Source organism: Homo sapiens, chromosome 6 (assembly GCF_000001405.40).
Source record: "Homo sapiens chromosome 6, GRCh38.p14 Primary Assembly".
NCBI lineage: Eukaryota > Metazoa > Chordata > Mammalia > Primates > Hominidae > Homo > Homo sapiens.
Window position 1 is genome coordinate 655,919 of NC_000006.12, and position 19,671 is coordinate 675,589.

General features: G+C 41.4%; 2 protein-coding genes and 1 pseudogene across 19 annotated transcripts in view, besides 2 other annotated features; all 3 read right to left on the bottom strand.

The window, feature by feature from the left end:
- Window positions 1-19,671, bottom strand: part of EXOC2 (exocyst complex component 2) — a 207,986-nt gene that overhangs the window by 170,765 nt on the left and 17,550 nt on the right. For 6 of the 18 annotated variants that reach the window (NR_073064.2, XM_047419009.1, XM_047419013.1 and 3 more), the window contains one exon: window positions 1,245-1,332. The exons of the other annotated variants lie outside the window; for them this stretch is intronic. The gene's annotated coding sequence lies outside the window, so the exon portion shown is untranslated. The remainder of the gene's footprint in view (window positions 1-1,244; window positions 1,333-19,671) is intronic. 18 annotated transcript variants of the gene reach the window in all.
- On the bottom strand, window positions 21-1,182 carry HUS1B (HUS1 checkpoint clamp component B). The gene has a single exon (NM_148959.4). It carries the CDS (start codon window positions 1,024-1,026, stop codon window positions 190-192), a length of 837 nt encoding a protein of 278 aa, NP_683762.2. The 5' UTR covers window positions 1,027-1,182; the 3' UTR covers window positions 21-189.
- Window positions 3,196-4,144: an enhancer, noted in NCBI's record as "NANOG-H3K27ac-H3K4me1 hESC enhancer chr6:659114-660062 (GRCh37/hg19 assembly coordinates)". NCBI's record gives its function as "activates a minimal SCP1, AML or CMV promoter by ChIP-STARR-seq in naive H9 embryonic stem cells {active_cell/tissue: H9 hESC(naive)}" and the evidence as "EXISTENCE:reporter gene assay evidence [ECO:0000049][PMID:30033119]".
- Window positions 4,145-5,092: an enhancer, noted in NCBI's record as "NANOG-H3K27ac-H3K4me1 hESC enhancer chr6:660063-661010 (GRCh37/hg19 assembly coordinates)". NCBI's record gives its function as "activates a minimal SCP1, AML or CMV promoter by ChIP-STARR-seq in primed H9 embryonic stem cells {active_cell/tissue: H9 hESC(primed)}" and the evidence as "EXISTENCE:reporter gene assay evidence [ECO:0000049][PMID:30033119]".
- MARK2P18 (MARK2 pseudogene 18) lies at window positions 13,162-14,389 on the bottom strand (annotated as a pseudogene).

Here is a 19,671-nt window from a genome sequence, read left to right on the forward strand (position 1 = left end):
CAAAACATGAACTACCCAACTGTTTTACCAATGCTTTAATATAAATTTTGCAAAGGAGGAAGGGCTCAACAAAATATACGCCCTGCATAAGTCAGTGAAGGTCCAAATTTTCAACCCAATTAACTCAGGGTCTGTTTTAGTTTTGAAAAGATCAAAACCTTAAAAAAAAAATCTAAGCTGGCTGAATTTTTACAAGGCAGGAATGAAATACTGAAGAGAGACATCTTCTTGAACCAAAACAAGCTGAAGAAGAGTATTGTCCCAAATATTGCACAGGGCCGTCGTAGGATGTATTTGCTGTCCCTCCAAAAACTGCAGAAGCTTCCGATTGTCCACCCGCACTTGCACCATGCTCTCCAGGTCTCTGTTTTCAGGCACACCCACAGCCGACTGGGGAGGGTTTCCAAGATTTTTAAAATAACTTTGAATGGACACCACCTCCGTCTCTATACTCAGGGTCATCCTGCCACTGAGGTTTGCTTCCACCAGCACGTGACTGCCCACGTTCGCCATCCTCTCCACGATGCTCCTCAGCGTCCTCCAGCGCGGCAGGCGGATGCTCGCGTCGGAGGCGCGCAGGCTGGGCGGCAGGCAGTCCCGCCACACTCTCCTGGGAAGCACCCGCACGGGCAGATCGTGCACCACGCTGCGAGCGCGGCCCAGGGACGAGACCAGCTCCACCGCCACCGTGAGGGAGGGGCGGCGCTTGTGGGTCAGCTGCAGCTTCAGGGAGGACGCGCCCGCTGCGCTTCTCGCCGCCCGGGACAGGTGCTCCGCCGTCAGCTCCAGGTGGATCTCATCGAGATCTTCCGAGACACCTTCCATGCGAAACTGCTGGAAGGCCCCCTGCCGCACCTCGCACCACAGCCTGGCCTCGTGGAGGCCGCCGGAACCCGCGGGGCCGAAGCACAGGCTGTCAGGGCGCACGCGGAGCACGCAGACCTTCGCTAGCCTCGCGACGGTGCCGCTGACGTGAATGAACAGCTCTAGACAGCCTTTGCCGGTGATCTTGGCGCGAAACTTCATGATGCCACAGGGAAGGCAGCTGGGGGCCTCTGAGGGGGATTCCGCGTGCCACAAGCCCTTCCGGTCCGCTGGGGTCCGTGGCGCTGCCCTCCCCGCCCTCCCTCCGGCCCCCCAGCTAGGCAGGCACTCGGGTTCCCGGTTGCGGTTGCGGGTTCTGTTGTGGGTTCCGCAGCCCTAGGCCTGGAGCCACGGAAGGGCCTCCCAACGCCCGTTCTCACCTTCCCTCCAGCCCTCTCACAAAATGCTTCCGTTTCCACTCCGGTTATAAGAAGAGTAGGCATTCCACTGCTGAAACTTCTTAGTATTCTAAACACAATGAAGACAAAATCATCACTCAGATAAAGAACCACTTTTAATCTCTTTGGTATATACACTGATTCCATCTTCATCAATCGGCATATAAGAAGATATAGTTCCACGTGTCTTATGAAATCATAGCATACCAGGCATACATTTTACAACCTCATCTTCACACTTAAATATGTAACAGGCACCTTTCCATGCTGGTGAAACAAATCTACACCATCTTCATGGCTGCTCACTTTTCCAGTGTATGGAGTTATAACACAAATGACATTTGGATGATTTCCAATTTTTTGCTATTATGAACACAATGAATATTTTTGTACAAAATAGTTTTGCCCATTTACCCAACTATTTCCTTGCATTAAATTCAGAAGTGAAGTGCTGGTCAATGAATGCACTTTTAAAATCCTAATAAATATTCTCAGACTGGCCTGCAGAAAGCTACATGAACACTCTAGCCCACCAGCAACACTGGGTAGTAGCAATCTGTTTTACCTGTAGCACTCTGGCAGGCAAAAAAAAAAAAAAAAAATTCAACTTGCACTGTGTGTGAATTCCATCTTATGCCCTTTGCATCTTTTTACTGAGTTTATTTTTCTTGATTTTAAGATATCTAGCAAGAACATTAACCCTCTGTCCATTACATGTACTGTAAATATCTTCCCCAGTTTATCATGTGACTTTTCACACTGTTTTTGGTATTCTTTGCCCTTGGGAAATACTGAGTATTTTCATGTCAAACCTATTGACCTTTTCTCTACTACTTCTAGGGTCATGCTTTCAAAGTCCTGTTTCTGGTACTTTAATGTTATCTGTTTTTATGACTTAGTTGTTTGACTCAGTTGAAATCTTTTTTGGAGTACCGAATGCCTAGCTGATACACATAATTCACTAAACAATCCACTTCTCCACTAACCTGAAATGTCAATTTTGTTTTAGACAAAAATTCTCATTTTTGCTTGAATGTTTCCTGGCCCTCTCTATATTTTCTCCCACTGCCCTATCTTGAACCTGTACCAGTGATTTAATTTCTGTATTATATTTCAATATCGAATAGGACAATCTTTCAGAACTTCTCTCATTCTCTCACAGATACTGCTCCAGATGAATTCTAAAATATTTTGTCAGAGTCTAAAAATAATCTTCCTGGAATTCTGATGGGAATTATCACCAGCCTGATATAGTACATACTTAGACTTCTTTGTTTGCCGTCTAGCTCTAACCACAATGATGTAAGTTAGAGGAGTTCTTATCTGTTCCATACACTGCTGTACACCCAGCATTTAGAACAGTATTTGCCATGCAACTGGTGTTCAACACAAATTTTTAAATGAATGTATGAAATGTATAAATTTCAAGATAATTTCAGGATATTTAAAATATATATATATATTTTATATATATATATATATATATTTTTTTTTTTTTTAGACGAAGTCTTGCTTTTGTCGCCCAGGCTAGAGTGCAATGGCGTGATCTCGGCTCACTGCGACCTCTACCTCTCAGGTTCAAGCGATTCTCTTGCCTCAGCCTCCCGAGTAGCTGGGATTACAGGCGCCTGCCACCATGCCCAGCTAATTTTTGTATTTTTAGTAAAGACGAGGTTTCACCATGTTGGCCAGGCTGGTCTCGAACTCCTGATCTCAGGTAATCTGCCCACCTTGGCCTCTCAAAGTGCTGGGATTATAGGCGTGAGCCACTGCGCCCAGCCAAGATATTTAAAATATTTACATTAAATCCTCCCACTTATTCAAACCATTTTTTATGACTGTCAATGAATTATTCAGTTCTGTTCTTAGGGAGTTCACATAATATACAGTATCTTGAAGTCAGTCAAGTCACTGAGCTCTCCTGAAATCATTTTTCAATTGACCTTTTATGTCTCTAATGTAGAAAATCTTACTATCTTCATGTACTGTAATTATGGCTTTTACTCTTCAAAGTTTATGTCATTTATTTAACTGACATTGCGTTTGCTGTAATTTTCAAAACACTGCTGAATAACAGTGGTGCCAGAAAGCATCTTTGTCTTATTTGTAACTAATGACGAATCCTCTAGAGCAGTGTTTCCCAAACTGTCATTAGCGCCCCCAAGAGTCTTTTTAGGTGTTTTCCCTAACTGCCCTCCATGGAATTTTAGATCACAGGTCCAGACAGAGCAGCATGCGAAGGCTCGCATTGTGAATTTTAGCCCCAGATAGACTGCAAGAACAAACCAGCAATCTCAGACCCTCTGAAGGAAGTAAACTGCTCTTGCAGGACCTGGGAGACACTCCAAATACTGTGAGTGCCCCAACTGTGGAAGTGGGAAAAGGAGCCCTTCCTCTCCCGAACACACACTCCCACTGGAGAAGCTGAAGGTCTGTTTGCGGGAGAAGTTTCCGACTTTACCTGGAGCTGAGTCAATCTGGAGGGGTGAGCGAAACACAGGGGTAGAGGCAGCAGAAAAGCCCTGGGAGCTCACTGTGTCCCCTTGCAGGCCATTCCTGCCTGGCACCACAGGGATCCATCTGGAAGGTGGCCTGAGGAGCAGGGGGTACAACTCCACAGGGAGAAGGAAATCTCTAACTGAACTTTGTAACAATTTCAAGGGACTGAGAAGCCTCCTGGCCAGAACTTGGGAGAGGACGCAAATCTGGTGTGCAGACTCCACAGGCGGGGACAGAACCCAGCCTTTTTAGTTCGCAGCTGGGAGGCAGGTAGCCTGGGGCAGATTTTCAAGCCGTCTTGCCACTCAGGGCTGTTGGGGGGGGGACACGGGGGGCACGGTGGTTGTGAGACTGGCCCTTCAGTTTTGCGTGGGAGCTGGGTGAGGCCTGTGACTGCAGACTTTCCCCCACTTCCCTGACAACCTGCATGACTCAGCAGAGACAGCCATAATCCCCCTAGGTACAGAACTCCACCCCCATCCCCCAAGACCCACCCATCCCCCCCAACCCGATGGTCCTTCCCTACCCAACCTGGTAGTGGAAGACAAAGGACATATAATCTTGGGAGTTCTAGGGCCCCGCCCACTGCCAGTCCCTCTCCACACTACTACAGCTGATGCTTTCTGGAAAGCACCACCTCCTGGCAAAAGGCCAACTAGCACCAAACTAGAGCATTAAACCACCAAAGCTAAGGACCCTCCCTCAGGGAGTCCATTGCACCCTCCGCCACCTCCACTGGAACAGGCGCTGATATTCACATTCACGGCTGAGAGACCATAGATGGTTCACATCACAGGACTCTGTGCAGGCAACCCCCAGTACCAGCACAGAGCTGGGTAGACTCGCTGGGTGCTAGACCCAGAAGAGAGACAACAATCTTGCAGTCTGGCTCACAGGAAGCCACATCCACAGGAAGATGGGGAGAGCACTACATCAAGGGAACACTTTGTGGGACAAAAGAATCTGAACAACAGCTTTCAGCCCTAGACCTTCCCTCTGACAAGGCTACCCAAATGAGAAGGAACCAGAAAACCAACCCCGGTAATATGACAAAACAAGGCTCTTCAACACCCCCGAAAAAATCACACTAGTTCACCAGCTATGGATCTAAACCATGAAGGAATCCCTGATTTACCTGAAAAAAAAATTCAGGAGGTTAGTTATTAAGCTAATCAAGGAGGGATCAGGGAAAGGCGGAGCCCAATGCAAGGAAATCAAATAAACAATACAAAAAGTAAAGGGAGAAATATTCAAGGAAATAGATAGCTTAAAGAAAAAACAATCAAAAATTCAGGAAACTTTGGACACACTTTTAGAAATGCAAAATACTCTGGAAAGCCTCAGCAATGGAAATGAACAAGTAGAAGGAAGAAATTCAGAGCTCGAAGGTCTACAAATTAACCAATCCAACAATGACAAATAAAAAAGAATAAGAAAATATGAACAAAGCCTCCAAGGAGTCTGGGGTTATGTTAAATGACCAAACCTAATAATCGGTGTTCCTGAGGAAGAAGAGAATTCTAAAAGCTTGGAAAACATGGGGAATAATCATGGAAAACTTCCCCAGCCCTGCTAGAGACCCAGACATCCAAATACAAGAAGCACAAAGAACACCTGGGAAATTCATTGCAAAAAGATCATCACCTAGGCACACTGTCATCAGGTTATACACAGTTCAGACTAAGGAAAGAGCTAAGACTAAGAGCTGTGAGATAGAAGCACCAGGTAGTCTATAAAGGAAAACCTATCAGATTAACAGCAGATTTCTCAGCAGAAACCCTATAAGCTAGAAGGGGTTGAGGCCCTATCTTCAGCCTCCTCAAACCAATTATCAACAAAGAATTTTGTATCCATTGAACCTATGCATCATATATGAAGGAAAGATACAGTTGTTTTCAAACCAATTCTGAGAGAATTCACCATTACCAAGCCACCACTACAAGAACTGCTAAAAGGAGCTCTAACTCTTGAAACAAATCCTGGAAACACAACAAAACAGAACCTCTTTAAAGCATAAATCACACAGGACCTATAACAAAAATACACGTTACAAAGCAAAAACAAACAAAAAAAAAGTACACAGGCCAAAAAGAGCATGATGAAAGCAATGGTACCTCACATTTCAATGCTAACGCTGAAAGTAAATGGCCTAAATGCTCCACTTAAAAGATACAGAACCACAGAATGGATAAGAACTCACCAACCAACAATCTGCTGCCTTCAGGAGACTCAGCTAACACATAAGGACTCACATAAAGTTAAAGTAAAGGGGTGGAAAAAGGCATTTCATGCAAATGGACACCAAAAGAGAGCAGGGGTAGCTATTCTTATATCAGACAAAACAAACTTTAAAGCAACAGCAGTTAAAACAGACAAAGAGGGACATTATGTAATGGTAAAAGGCCTTATTCAACAGGAAAATATCACAATCCTAAACATATATGCACTAAAACTGGAGCTCCCAAATTTATAAAACAATTACTAATAGATCTAAGCAATGAGACAAACAGAAACACAATAATAGTGGGGGACTTCAATACTCCACTGACAGCACTAGACTGGTCATCAAGACAGAAAGTCAACAAAGAAACAACGGATTTAAATGATACCTTGGAACAAATGGACTTAACAGATATATACAAAACATTTCATCCAACAACTGCAGAATATACATTCTATTCAACAGCACATGGAACTTTCTCCAAGATAGACTATATGACAGGCCATAAAATGAGCCTCAATAAATTTAAGAAAATTGAAATTATATCAAGCACTCTCTCAGACCACAGTAAAATAAAACTGGAAATCAACTCCAAACAGAACCTTCAAAACCATGCAAATACATGGAAATTAAATAACCTGCTCCCAAATGAGCATTGGGTCAAAAACAAAATCAAGATGGGAATTAAAAAATTCTTCAAACTGAATGACAATAATGACACAACCTATCAAAACCTCTGGGATTCAGCAAAGGTGGTGCCATGAGGAAAGTTCATAGCCCCAAGCACCTGTATCAAAAAGTCTGAAAGAGCACAAACAGATGCTCTAAGGTCACACCTCAAGGAACTAGAGAAACAAGAACAAACCAAACCCAAACCCAAACCCAGCGGAAAAAAGGAAATAACCATGATCAGAGCAGAATTAAATGAAATTGAAAAAACACCAACAAAATACAAAAGATAAATGAAACAAAAAGCTGGTTCTACAAGGCTGAGGCAGGAGAACTGCTTGAACCTGGAAGGTGGAGGCTGCAGTGAGCCGAGATCACACCACTGCACTCCAGCCTGGGTGGCAGAGCAAGACTTTGTCTCAAAAAAAAAAACAAATCCTGGTTCTTTGAAAAGATAAATAAAATTGACAGACCATGAGCACGATTAACCAACAAAAGAAGAGAGAAAAGCCAAATGATCGCACTAAGAAATGCAACAGGAGATATTACAACTGACACCACTGAAATACAAAAGATCCCTCAAGGCTAATATGAACACCTTTACACACATAAATTAGAAACCTAGAAGAGATGGATAAATTCCTGGATAAATATAACCCTCCTAGCTTAAATCAGGAAGAAATAGACACCCCGAACAGACCAATAACAAGCAGCAAGATTGAAATGGTAATTAAGAAATTACCACCAAAGAAAAGTCCAGGACCAGAGGGATTCACAGCAGAATTCCACCAAACACTCAAAGAATTGGTACCAATCCTTTTGACACTATTCCACAAGATAAAGAAGGAACCCTCCCTAATTCATTCTATGAAACCAGCATCACCCTAATATCAAAACCAGGAAAGGACATAACAAAAAAGAAAACTACAGACCAATATCCTTGATGAACATAGATGCTAAAATCCTTAACAAAATACTAGCTAACTGAATCCAGCGACATATCAAAAAGATAATCCACCATGATCAAGGGAGTTTCATACCAGGGATGCAGGGGTAGTTTAACATACACAAGTCAATAAATATGATACACCACATAAACAGAATTAAAAACAAAAATCACATGATCATCTCAATAGACACAGAAAAAGCATTTGACAAAATCCAACTTCCCTTTATAATTAAAACTCTCAGCAAAACTGACATACAAGAGACATACCTTAATGTAATAAAAGCCATGTATGACAAACCCACAGCCAACATAATACTGAATGGGGAAAAGTTGAAAGCATTCCCTCTGAGAACGGGAACAAGACAAGGATGCCCACTCTCACCACTCCTCTTCAACATAGTACTGCAAGTCCTAGCCAGAGCAATCAGACAAGAGAAAGAAAGGCATCCAAATCGGTAAAGAGGAAGTCAATCTGTCACTGTTTGCTGAAGATATTATCGTTTACCTTGAAAACTCTAAGGACTCCACCAGAAAGCTCCTAGAACTGATAAAAGAATTCAGCAAAGTTTCCAGATACAAGATTAATGTACACAAATCAGTAGCTCTTCTCTATAGCGAAAGCAACCAAGTGGAGAATCAAATCAAGAACTCAACCCCTTTTACTATAGCTGCAAAAATAAAATAAAATAAAATACTTAGGAATATACCTAACCAAAAACAGGTCTTTCGGAGGACCTCTACAGAGAAAACTACAAAACCCTGCTGAAAGAAATTGTAGATGACACAAAAAAATGAAAACACATCCCATGCTCATGGATGAGTAGAATCAATATTGTGAAAATGACCATACTGTCAAAAGCAATCTACAAATTCCATGCAATCCTACCACCATCACTCTACACAAAATTAGAAAAAGCAATTCTAAAATTCATATGAAACCAAAAAAGAGCCCGCATAGCCAAAGCAAGACTAAGCAAAAACAACAAATCTGGAGGCATCACACTACCTGATTTCAAACTATACTATAAGGCCATAGTCACCAAAACAGTGTGGTACTGGTATAAAAACAGACACACAGACCAGTGGAAAAGAATAGAGAACCCAGAAATAAAGCCAAATACTTACAGCCAACTGATCCTTGACAAAGCAAACAAAACCATAAAGTGGGGAAAGGACACCCATTTCAACAAATGGTGCTAGTATAACTGGCTAGCCACATGTAGGAGAATAAAACTGGATCCTCGTCTCTCACCTTATACAAAAATCAACTCAAGGTGGATTAAGGACTTAAACCTAAGACCTGAAACTATAAAAATTCTAGAAGATAATGTTGGAAAACCCCTTCTAGACATTGGCTTAGGCAAGGATTTCATGCCAAGAACCCAAAAGCAAAGACAGTAAAAACAAAGATAAATAGCTGGGACCTAACTAAACTAAAGAGCTTTTGCATGGCAAAAGAAACAGCAGAGTAAACAGACAACACACAGAGGGGGAGAAAATCTTCACAATCTATACATCTGACAAAGGACTAATACCCAGAATCTACAATGAAGTCAAACAAATCTGTAAGAAAAAAAACAATCACATCAAAAAATGGGCTAAGGACATGAATAGGCAACTCTCAAAAGAAGATATACAAATGGCCAACAAACATATGAAAAAAATGCTCAGCATCACTAATGATCAGGGAAATGCCAATCAAAACCACAATGCAATAGCATCTTACTCCTACAAGAATGGCCATAATCGAAAAATCAAAAACCAGTACATGTTGGTGTAGATGCGGTGAACAGGGAACACTTCTACACTGCTGGTGGGAATGCAAACTAGTACAGCTGCTATGGAAAACAGTGTGGAGATTCCTTAAAGAACTAAAAGTAGAACTACCATTTGATCAAGCAATCCCACTACTGGGTATCTACCCAGAAGAAAATAACTGAATATTCAAAAAAGATTCTTGCACATACGTTTATAGCAGCACAATTCACAATTGCAAAATCGTGGAAAACCCAAATGCCCATCAATCAATGAGCTGATAAAGAAACTGTGGTATATATATACAATGGAATACTATGCAGCCATAAAAAGGAATGAATTAATAGCATTTGCAGTGACGTGGATGAGATTGGAGACTATTATTCTAAGAGAAGTAAATCAGGAATGGAAAACCAAACATCGTGTGTTCTCACTGATATGTGGGATCTAAGCTATGAGGATGCAAAGGCATGAGAATGATACAATGGACTTTGGGTACTTGGGGGGAAGAGGGGGAGGGGGTTGAGGAATAAAAGACTACAGGATGTGGTGCAGTGTACACTGCTTGGGTGATGGGTGCACCAGAATCTCACAAGTCACCACTAAGAACTTAGTCATGTAACCAAATACCACCTGTACCCCAATAACTTACAGAAAATAAAAATAAAAATAAGAGTCAAAAAATTATAGTCATCAAGAGAAATGTGGTCTGCTACCTATTCTTGTGAATAAAGTTTTATCAGAACACAGCCACATTCATTTGATTCCATGTCATCTAAGGCTGCTTTCTCACTAGAAGAGTAGAGCTGAGTAATAGCAACTGAGACCTCATGGCCAAAAACTACTACACTGCCCTTCACAAAAAGAGTGTGCCAATCCGTTAGGTGATGGCAAGTCAGCATCCTTTCTCCATTCTCACATGAAACATTTTTAGCTGTAACTCCTTAATTTTCAGATGTAGAAGACACTTCTCTTGTTTCCAGCACTGGTATTTTCCTCATATTGACTGGAATATATCAAAAACTAGGAGGAAAAGTCAAAACCATTGGAAAATATGTAAAGGCATCTTCACCACGGCAGTCATACTGATGCAAAATTGAGCAAATGATTCAAATGTTACTTATGTTTACAACAGGAATTTCAAAAACTGGTCAGCATCCCTTCCAGAAAATTTCCAGAAAATTTAGGTCTATTAAATTAACATTATTATTTAGAATTGGGAAACTTGGTGCTTTACTGTTTTGTTTTGGCACTTTACAACTTTTTTTTCTGAGCAGTTTTATTAAGTTTACAGAAAAATTAAATCAAAATTAGAGTTTCCATATACCCCTTCACTACCACTCCCTCCTGTTTCCTCTGTTATTAACATCTTGCATTAGTGTGGCACAGCTGTTACAACTGAGGAGCCAATACTGATATACTATTAAGTAAGTTCCATAGTTTACACTGGGGCTCTTTGTGTGGTACATTCTATGAGTTTTGACAAATGTATAACTTATCATTACATGTATCCAACATTACAGTATCATACTGAATACTTTCACTGCCTTAAAAGTCCCATTTTCCCTCTTCTCTTAGCATGGCAATTATGTTCTTTTTTTTTTAATTTTTTTTTCAGTGGCTATCTTAGAGTTTGCAATATGCATTTACAACTAAACCAAGTTCACTCTCAAATAACACTTTCCCATTCATGGATAGTGGAAGTACCTTATAACAAAGTATTCCCACTTTCTTCTTCTCATCCCTTACAACACTGGTGTCATTCATTTTAATTATCTATAAGCTATAATCACCGTAAGTTTTGTTGCTGTTATTCTTCAGAACAAACAGTTGTCTGTCAGATCAATTAATAAGAAAAACTAAAAACTGTATTTTACCTTCATTCATCTATAATGCTCCTCCTTTCTTCATGTAGATCTGAGTTTCTAATCTACATCATTATCACTGTTGTTTTTTGATGAATATCTTTTAGTGTTTCTTACAAGGAAGGTTTACTGGTAACAAATTTCCTCAACTTTTGTTTATCTGAGAAAGTATTTCTCATTCGCTTCTGAAGGGTAATTTCATTTGTATACAGGATTTGACAGTGGTAAGTGTGATGACTGGAAGAAGAGATACCCAGACAGCTGAGCTGGTAAAGCATTATTTCTGGGTGTGTCTGTGAGGGTGTTTGGGGAAGTAACTGGCATTTGAATCAGTGGACCAAGTAAGAAAGCTCTGTTGTCACCCATTGTGAGCAGGCACCACAAAGCCGCTGAGGGTCTTGATCAAAGAAAAAGGCAGAGAAAAGGCAAATTCTCTCCTTTTTGGAACTGGGACACCCATCTTTTCCTGCTCTTGAATCACCAGAATGCCACGGTCTTCTGAGCTTTGGATTCCCAGGCTTATACCAGTGACCCCTGCCCCCCAGGTTCTGAGGCCTTTGGCCTCAGACTGAGAGATACACTGCGGGCTCCCCTGGTTGAGGCCTTCAAACTTAGACTGAGCCATGCTACTGGCTTCTCTGATTCTGTGGCTTGCCGACGCCTGTCATGGGACTTCTCAGCCTCCATAGTCATGTAAGCCAGTTCCCCTAATAAATCCCCTCCCATCCATCCATCCATCCATCCATCCATCCATCCATCCATCCATCCATCCATCCGTCCATATCCTGTTGATTCTGTTTCTCTGGAAAGCCCTAATACACTGGGTTTTTTTCTTTCAGCACTTTATTTCACTCCACTCTATTCTTCCTTGCATGGTTTCTGAAGAGACATCTCATATAACTCTGATCTATGCTCCCCTATAGAAAGGTGCTTCTTTCAAGAGTTTCTATTGGTTTTTGATTTTCTGCAACTGGAATAGGATATGTCTGAGTGTAGATTTTTTGGTATTTGTCTTGCTCCGTGTTCTCTGGGCTCCCAGGATCTATGGATAGTTGCCTATTATTAATTTTGGAAAATTTTTAGGCATTAATGCTTTAAGTCATGCCCAGGAAGATACTCAGCCATGCTGTGCCTCCATCATGTCTCTCCTACAGTCCCCTCATTGTCTCCCACACTGTCTTCTGGGTGACGCATGCTTTCTCCCTCTGTTGGCCTCCAGCATTCCAGAACTTAATTCTTCTGTCCTATCCTTCCAGGTGAAAGAAGTGCTGTTCTCATTGCCTGCACAGCCCTGTGCTCACTGCTGAAATCTGCGTTCTGTCACACTCAGCGTTAGGTCCCTCAACACCCATCCCACCTGCTTCTTAGCCAACTAACTTCCACCATTCACCCATTCAGTCATCACTTTCTGTGGGAAGCTACACCTTCCCTCACCTCACTTCCAACAACCTAACCTCCCTCAGCCCCAGGTTGGATTAATCGTACCCCATGTATACTTATCTCTACCATTCAGCCAGTAAAAGTAGAGATACTATGGTCTCTTGGGATCTACCAGTAATTCGTCCTAAGGCATTCTGTGGATACCAAAATCTGGGGATGCTCAGGTTCCCTACATAAAATTGCATAGTATTTGCATATAACCCACACACATCCACCAGCATACTCTAGATTACTAATCATCTCTAGATTACTTATAATACATAATACAATGTAAGTTATCAAACTGTATTGTTTTTGTTGTTTTTTTATTGCTGCATTGTTTTTTTCTGAATATTTTCCATCTGTGATTGGTTGAATCTGTCCATGCAGAACCCATGGATATGGAGAGCTGACTGTATTTCTTTTTTACTTACTTGGTGCTAGGCACATGAAGGTGCGGAATAAACGCTTATGAATGAACCTCCAACTGGTATGTTTGCTCCTCGAGGACAAGTATTACCACCTGCAACTGTCTGCATCCCACACCCGGCTGATCTCCTGCACCATGTCCTTGGACTCCATGGAGCTCAGGATCTTCCTGCTCCATGTGAAATGCAGCGAGCACAGCTTGAACTCCCCACATTCCAGCTACATGCCAGATCTTCCCAGCCAACCTGAAACACAGGTGTCTGTGGATGAAGATAAGGAACCTCCTGTGGCCCCCTGCCAGCCCTGAATGTTGCGAGAGGGAATGGCTGAGGTTATACATTCTGGCAAATTCTGCCGGTCCTAACCAAAGCTGCACAGTATGAAGGGAGTTCTCCTTTGGAGGACACACCCTAGGAACAGTTGATTCTGTCTGGGGTTCCACCACTGCTGCTGGTGCTGTGGGTGGAGGGGGAGGCCACAAGGCCATGCTGGAGGCTTTGCTGGGCCAGTCTTCATCTCAAGGTGAGGCAGAAGACTGGCAGGCACTTTGACTGTTCTGCTGGCCTTTCAACCTGACTCCTGATCCTCCTCAAGCCACTGATTTTCTATTAGAGGAAAAAGAAAATGTGGGAAGAGCAGGCTCGCTGCTTTGGGCTGGCAGAGACCCTAGGCTGTACCTGGAAGGATGGAGAAGGATGGCAACAGTTGGTGGGATCAGCTAAGGAAAGGACTTCACAGTGATGGTGTGGCCCTCCAGCTGAGGTGTCCTGTAGCCCATCAATGAGTCCAGAATTTCCCTTACATGTAGCCCAAGGACAGCATTAACTCAGTGTGCCAGGGATCCCTGGAGTCAGGGAGTGGCTGGATGTAGTTTTAGTTCCTCTTCATAGCCCACATTTATCCATGGGTCCCTCATGATTTCCTCTGCAGTGCCTCTCTTACTGGGGTTTGGGAGCAGGAATTTATTTAGGTGTTCATACTCCATAGACATGTAAAGGGAATGTGATATATACCTACTTTGGAAGCTCTGCTATAGTTCTGTCCATTGTAAGACAGAAACCTGATGATCACCGACCACTGCACAGAGAATGACTCCCAGGCTGCCAACATCCATCTCAGAGCCATCGTACTTTTGCGTACGTTGCCTAGAAGAGTTCCAGGACAGTGTAAGAAGCACTGACACAGAAGTTATCTACCCTGCTGCCAAAGGTGAGCTCGTTGCTAAAGCCAAAGTCTGCAAACGTGAGGTTCAGTTCAGCATCCACACAAGCAGGTTCTTTGGCTGTATGTCCCTGTGCAGGATCCCCTTCTGGTGGCAGTACTATCTGTTGGATTCTGCCTTGGGCCAAAAATTTAGGCAGAGCCAGGGACGAAAATAAGTGTTTGGCATTTTACAATAATGACTCCTACTGAGGTCACAGCAAGAAATGGACCAATCACAGCTGAGGATAATCCACTGTGGTTTTCTCATTTTTGGTCTGAAGAACTCTTTACTTTTTTTAATTTAAAAAAAAAAAAGGGAAGGAGGACTTCAAACAGCTTTCTGTTCACATAGGTTAAAGTGATCAATACTTTTCAATATGGCAAATTAAATCCACAGAATGCTTCAGTGACCTTTCATTTCCAGTCTGAAAATCTGTAATAATTTTTGACTTTTAAAAACTCATAGTGTCTACACTGAAAATATTCAATTCCTTTCTCTTTAATCTCTGAATGATTGGTCTCAAAAATGATGCCACAACTCGCATCACATAAGAAAATGTTCTGTTGCATAAGACACAATAAGGTAATTATTAACATCTATAGAGCTGAGAGAAAGACATATTTTCATTTCTTATTTAGAGTTTTGCCAAGTCTCTGGAATAAATTCCTCTCTTCCATGAGCCCATTGGGGTAGCTTTAAATGTAGAAGTTGCAACTGTAGGTCAAGAAAGTAAGTCTTTTTCAGCCAGGCACAGTGGTGCACACCTGTAGTCCCAGCTACTTAGGAGGCTGAGGCAGAAGGACCACCTAAGCCCAGGAGTTCAAGACCAGCCTGGGTAACATCATGAGACTCCATCTCAAAAAAAAAAAAAAAAAAAAAATTAAGGCTGGGCATGGTGGCTCACGCCTGTAATCCCAACACTTCGCGAGGCTAAGGCAGGCAAATCACTTGAGGTCAGGAGTTAGAGACCAGTCTGGCCAACATGGCAAAATCCCGTCTCTACTAAAAGTACAAAAACTAGCCAGGCTTGGTGATGCACTCCTGTAGTCCCAGCTACCTGGGAGGCTGAGGCAGGAGGATCACTTGAACCTGGGAGGTGGAGATTGCAGTGAGCCGAGCCTGGGTGACAGAGTGAGACTGTCTCAAAACAACAACAACAACAACAAAAAAAAACAAAAAAAGAAAAACTATTTGTTTTTTAAGCCAACAATTCATTACATTCCACATCCGTATCATTCAGCATGAATGTGGGGTGTAGGTGCTGGGCATGGTGCCAGATGCCAGGACCTGAGGGGAGGGAACCCAGAAGCCACTGCATTTATTCCTTCTCTAAAATTCATCCTTGAATTTTTCAGATCCAAGTATTTGACCTATATCATTTTGCTTCTCCCTAAAGAACAACTTTTAACATTTTAACTTCTTTTAATAGTTAAGGCAAATCTAATGGCAATAAATCCCCTCAATTTCGTCTGGAAAAAGTTTATTTCTCCTTCACGTTTGAAGGATAATTTCACTGGATACGGAATTCTATGTAGGTGGGTCTTTTTTCCTTACTTGTTTGCATGGTTGCTGAAAAAAAGTCTGATGTAATTTCCATTCTTGTCTCCCTTATGTAAGGTGTCCATCTCATCCCCAACCCCAGCTTCCTTCAGTATCCTTCAGTATTTTTTATATTTTTCTACAGTTTGAATACAATATGCTAAGTGTAGATTTTTTATTTTTTATTTATTTATTTATTTTTTGGTACTTGCTTGCCTACTGTTCTCTGAGCTTTCCAGATCTGGGACTATCATTAATTACAAAAAACTCTCAGCCATTATTACGGCAAATATTTCTTCTGTTATTTTTTTCCTTCCCCTTCTTGGTTCCCACTATACATACATTATACTTTGTGTAACTGTCCCACAATTCTTGGCTGTTCCATTCCATTTTCTTCCACCTTTTTTCTCTATTATAGTTTCTGAAGACTCTATTGATGTTTCTTCCAGTTCACTGATTCTTTCCTCAGCTATGTCTGGCCTACTGATGTGCTCATCAATGGCACTCTTCTCTTCTGTTAGTGTTATTTCTACCATTTCTTTTTCATTCCTTCTTAAAGTTTCCATCTCTCTGTGCACATTACTTATCTGCTGCATGTTCCCCACTTTTCCCATTAGGACCCTTAGCATATAATCATAGTTGTTTTAAATTGCTGGTTTGATCATTCTAACATCCTCCACCATACCTGAATCTGGTTCTAATGCTTGCTCTGTTTCTTCAAAATGTGGTTTTTGTCTTTCATTTCTGCCGTGTAATTTTTTGTTCAAAGCTGGATATGCTGTATTGGTTAAAGCAACTCAATACTGGTTTCCCACAGAAACTTCCATTCCTAGGCTTCTGCACTAAGAAGTTGGGATGCTCTGTATCTGCCTGTTGTCTCTCCCATTTAGGGGACAGTGGTTTACCCTGTGGCCTCAATTTTCTGAGGGATATAAGGAAAGTTGTTGATTTTCAGTTTGTTTAGCTTTTTCCTTATCCTGTGGCCTCAATTTTCTGAGGGATATAAGGGAAGTTGCTGATTTTCAGTCTGTTTAGCTTTTTCCTTATTGTGAGGATTCGAGTGGTGACTTCCAAGCTCCTACATCTCTGACCAGAAACTGCAAGAGCTTTGTTTTCAATATTTACATAAGTAAGTTGCATTCTTATAAAATTAAAGTACATTTTACAATTTACTCAGAGCTTTAGTGTATGTGATCTAAACGATAAGGTAAATTTCATTAAGTTTGTAGACTCTGTTTTAAAATTCATGACTGGGCGCGGTGGCTCAGCCCTGTAATCCCAGCACTTTGGGAGGCCAAGGCGGGCAGATCACTTGAGGTCAGTAGTTTGAGACCACCCTGGCCAACATGGTGAAACCCCATCTCTACTAAAAATACAAAAAAATTAGCTGGGCGTGGTGGCGGGCACCTGGGATACCGGCTACTCATGAGGCTGAGGCAGGAGAATCACTTGAATCTGGGTTGCAGAGGCAAGATCGCGCCATTGCACTCCAGCCTGGGTGACAAAAGTGAGACTCCATAGCCAAAAAAAAAAAAAAAAAAAAAAAAAAAAAAAAAAAAAAATTCACATTTATCTAAGAAAAAAGATAACAATACAATTGTCTTTTATTTGCACTGGTTAGTGTTCCATTAAATTAGTACCACTTAAGCCTCAACAGTATTTGGCTTAACAGAAGTTAAGCTATGAAACTGCAGCAGTGTATAGTCATATATTTTATTTATTCAGAAATATAAAGTGCAATTTTTAAACTATCTGGAAACAGAAAAGATTTCTATTTCTTGGAATAACAGATTCGTTAGGGTGAGGAGGAGCGAAAACGTTTCTAACAGTACAGATTTTGAGATCTATGTTTTCAGAAGTACAGCATAATGCACCAAGGCCTCATTTACTAGATGCCATCGGCAAGGAGGGGTTCTGCCTAGAGGAAACCTCCAAACAAAGCAGATTTACACTTCAAAACTCAAAAAATATATAACTTTTTACTATTTTGGCAGGGATCTCTCTCATCTGTATTTGCCTTCCCAATATGAAACACAAATGAACTTAAAAATATAATAATTAAAAAGTATGAAATATTGCAAGAAATACCAAAATGTGACGCAGAGACATGAAGTGAGCACATGCTGTTGGAAAAATGATGCTGAGACACTTGCTTAATACAGGGTTACCACAAACCTTCATTTTGCTTTTTTTAAAAAAAGTATTATCTGTGAAATGCAGTATCTACAAGGCACAATAAAGCGAACTGCAATTAAGCGAGTTATGACTGAAAACTCTCCAAACCCCTAATAATCCAAAAATGAGAAATTGAGAACTACCAACACTTTCAATCAAATTTTATATTACGATGCTTGGTTCAAAGAATAACAAAACTAACAAACTCTGAGCTAGAAATTAAGCAAAAATACCAACTTGATCATAATTCTCATGCAATTAGCCAAATTTGAATCATTATACCAAAATACATAAGGCCAAAATGAGTTTTTTATTGCCATGATAATTACAGAACAAGTGTTGGTTCCAAATGAATGATGAAGACTGCTGACATGATTACTTCCTTTCCCTCAATAATTCTATAAAAAAAAATAAAGACAGAATTTGTTTAGCCTTGGAAGTGACTTATTTATTTACTCTTTCAGCTAGCTAGCATTTGGATCATGTTTCCTCAAAAAAGTTCATGTACCCTGTTAAAAAAAAATTACCTTGTACTAAATATGAACTGTGAACACTTCTCAAAGCCTTGCAGTAATAATGAGGGTAAGCTATGTTGGAAACAAAGAAAATGTGCAAAACACAATAATTTCAAAAATTGCTGGGAGAAATGAGTAAGCTATTGTAAAGGCTTTTTCTCATACTCTTTTCTAGGTCAAATTTATGCCTCTTCTCCTTGGCAATAAGAAACACTACTGTACTGATCTTTTCTCCTCTCTGCTACTAAATCCTAAAGCTGTGGTACAAAAAGTCCTGGCCCTTGTATTAACCATGTTTGTTTGTTTGTTTGTTTGTTTGTTTGTTGTCAGTGCTTTATGATGCTTTGACATTTTGGAGCCTGTGGACCAGGGAAGGGACTGCCCCTCTGAGAACTGGCTAATTCCTAGAGGTCACAAACTACTTGCCTGGTCTGAATACCCTTCAATTAGGCTCCTCCAATCAGGGACACTGCCCCCAGCCCTACATACCCCAGGTGCCAGCCAACTAGGGACCACTCCTACAGCCCAGAGCCCTCCAAAAAATTATTCAGATGATCCAATCCTAAACTTGCTCAGCTTGCCTACCCTGCCTAGCCATTCCTTCCCGGGAAAACCATAACAAAGGGTCTGGCCCATGCTTTCCCTGGCTCCCTCTGCCTCCTGACCTACCCCCAGTGCTTCCTGTGTGGTGCGGCTTGCCCACCCTCTTGGAACTGTGAGTAACACAATTTTCAACAACAATCTTATCCTGCTTGTTGATAATAAAACCTACATTTTAAAAGTCTTCCCTTTTCAACCTTTCTGAGCCACTGTGACTCAATACTAATTCTCGCTCTTCACCAAAAAAGAGACTCTCAGGCTGGGGGTGGAGGAAAGAAAGCAAAAAACATTTAGAAATTCTCAACTCCTTTAAGTACTTTAGGGGGAACTGGCCATGGTAATAGCATTGTTTTTTGCTTTTCTTTTTCATTTATTCAAATGATCAAGGAAGGTCAGTGATAGTGCGCAGACATGCAGGAGTACATGAAGAGACGTGTTCTCCATTCTAAAAGAAATGGGCGCCCCATCAACCCATTGCTTTAAACCTCTTCAACATTACAGAAAGGACAGGTTCCTCTGGAGACTCTGAGGTTCCCCATACTCTTCAACATTACGGAAAGGACAGCCTCC

Bases quoted from the DNA above. Each gene is read 5' to 3' on its own strand.
- HUS1B (NM_148959.4), bottom strand. From the start codon at position 1,026: ATGAAGTTTCGCGCCAAGATCACCGGCAAAGGCTGTCTAGAGCTGTTC.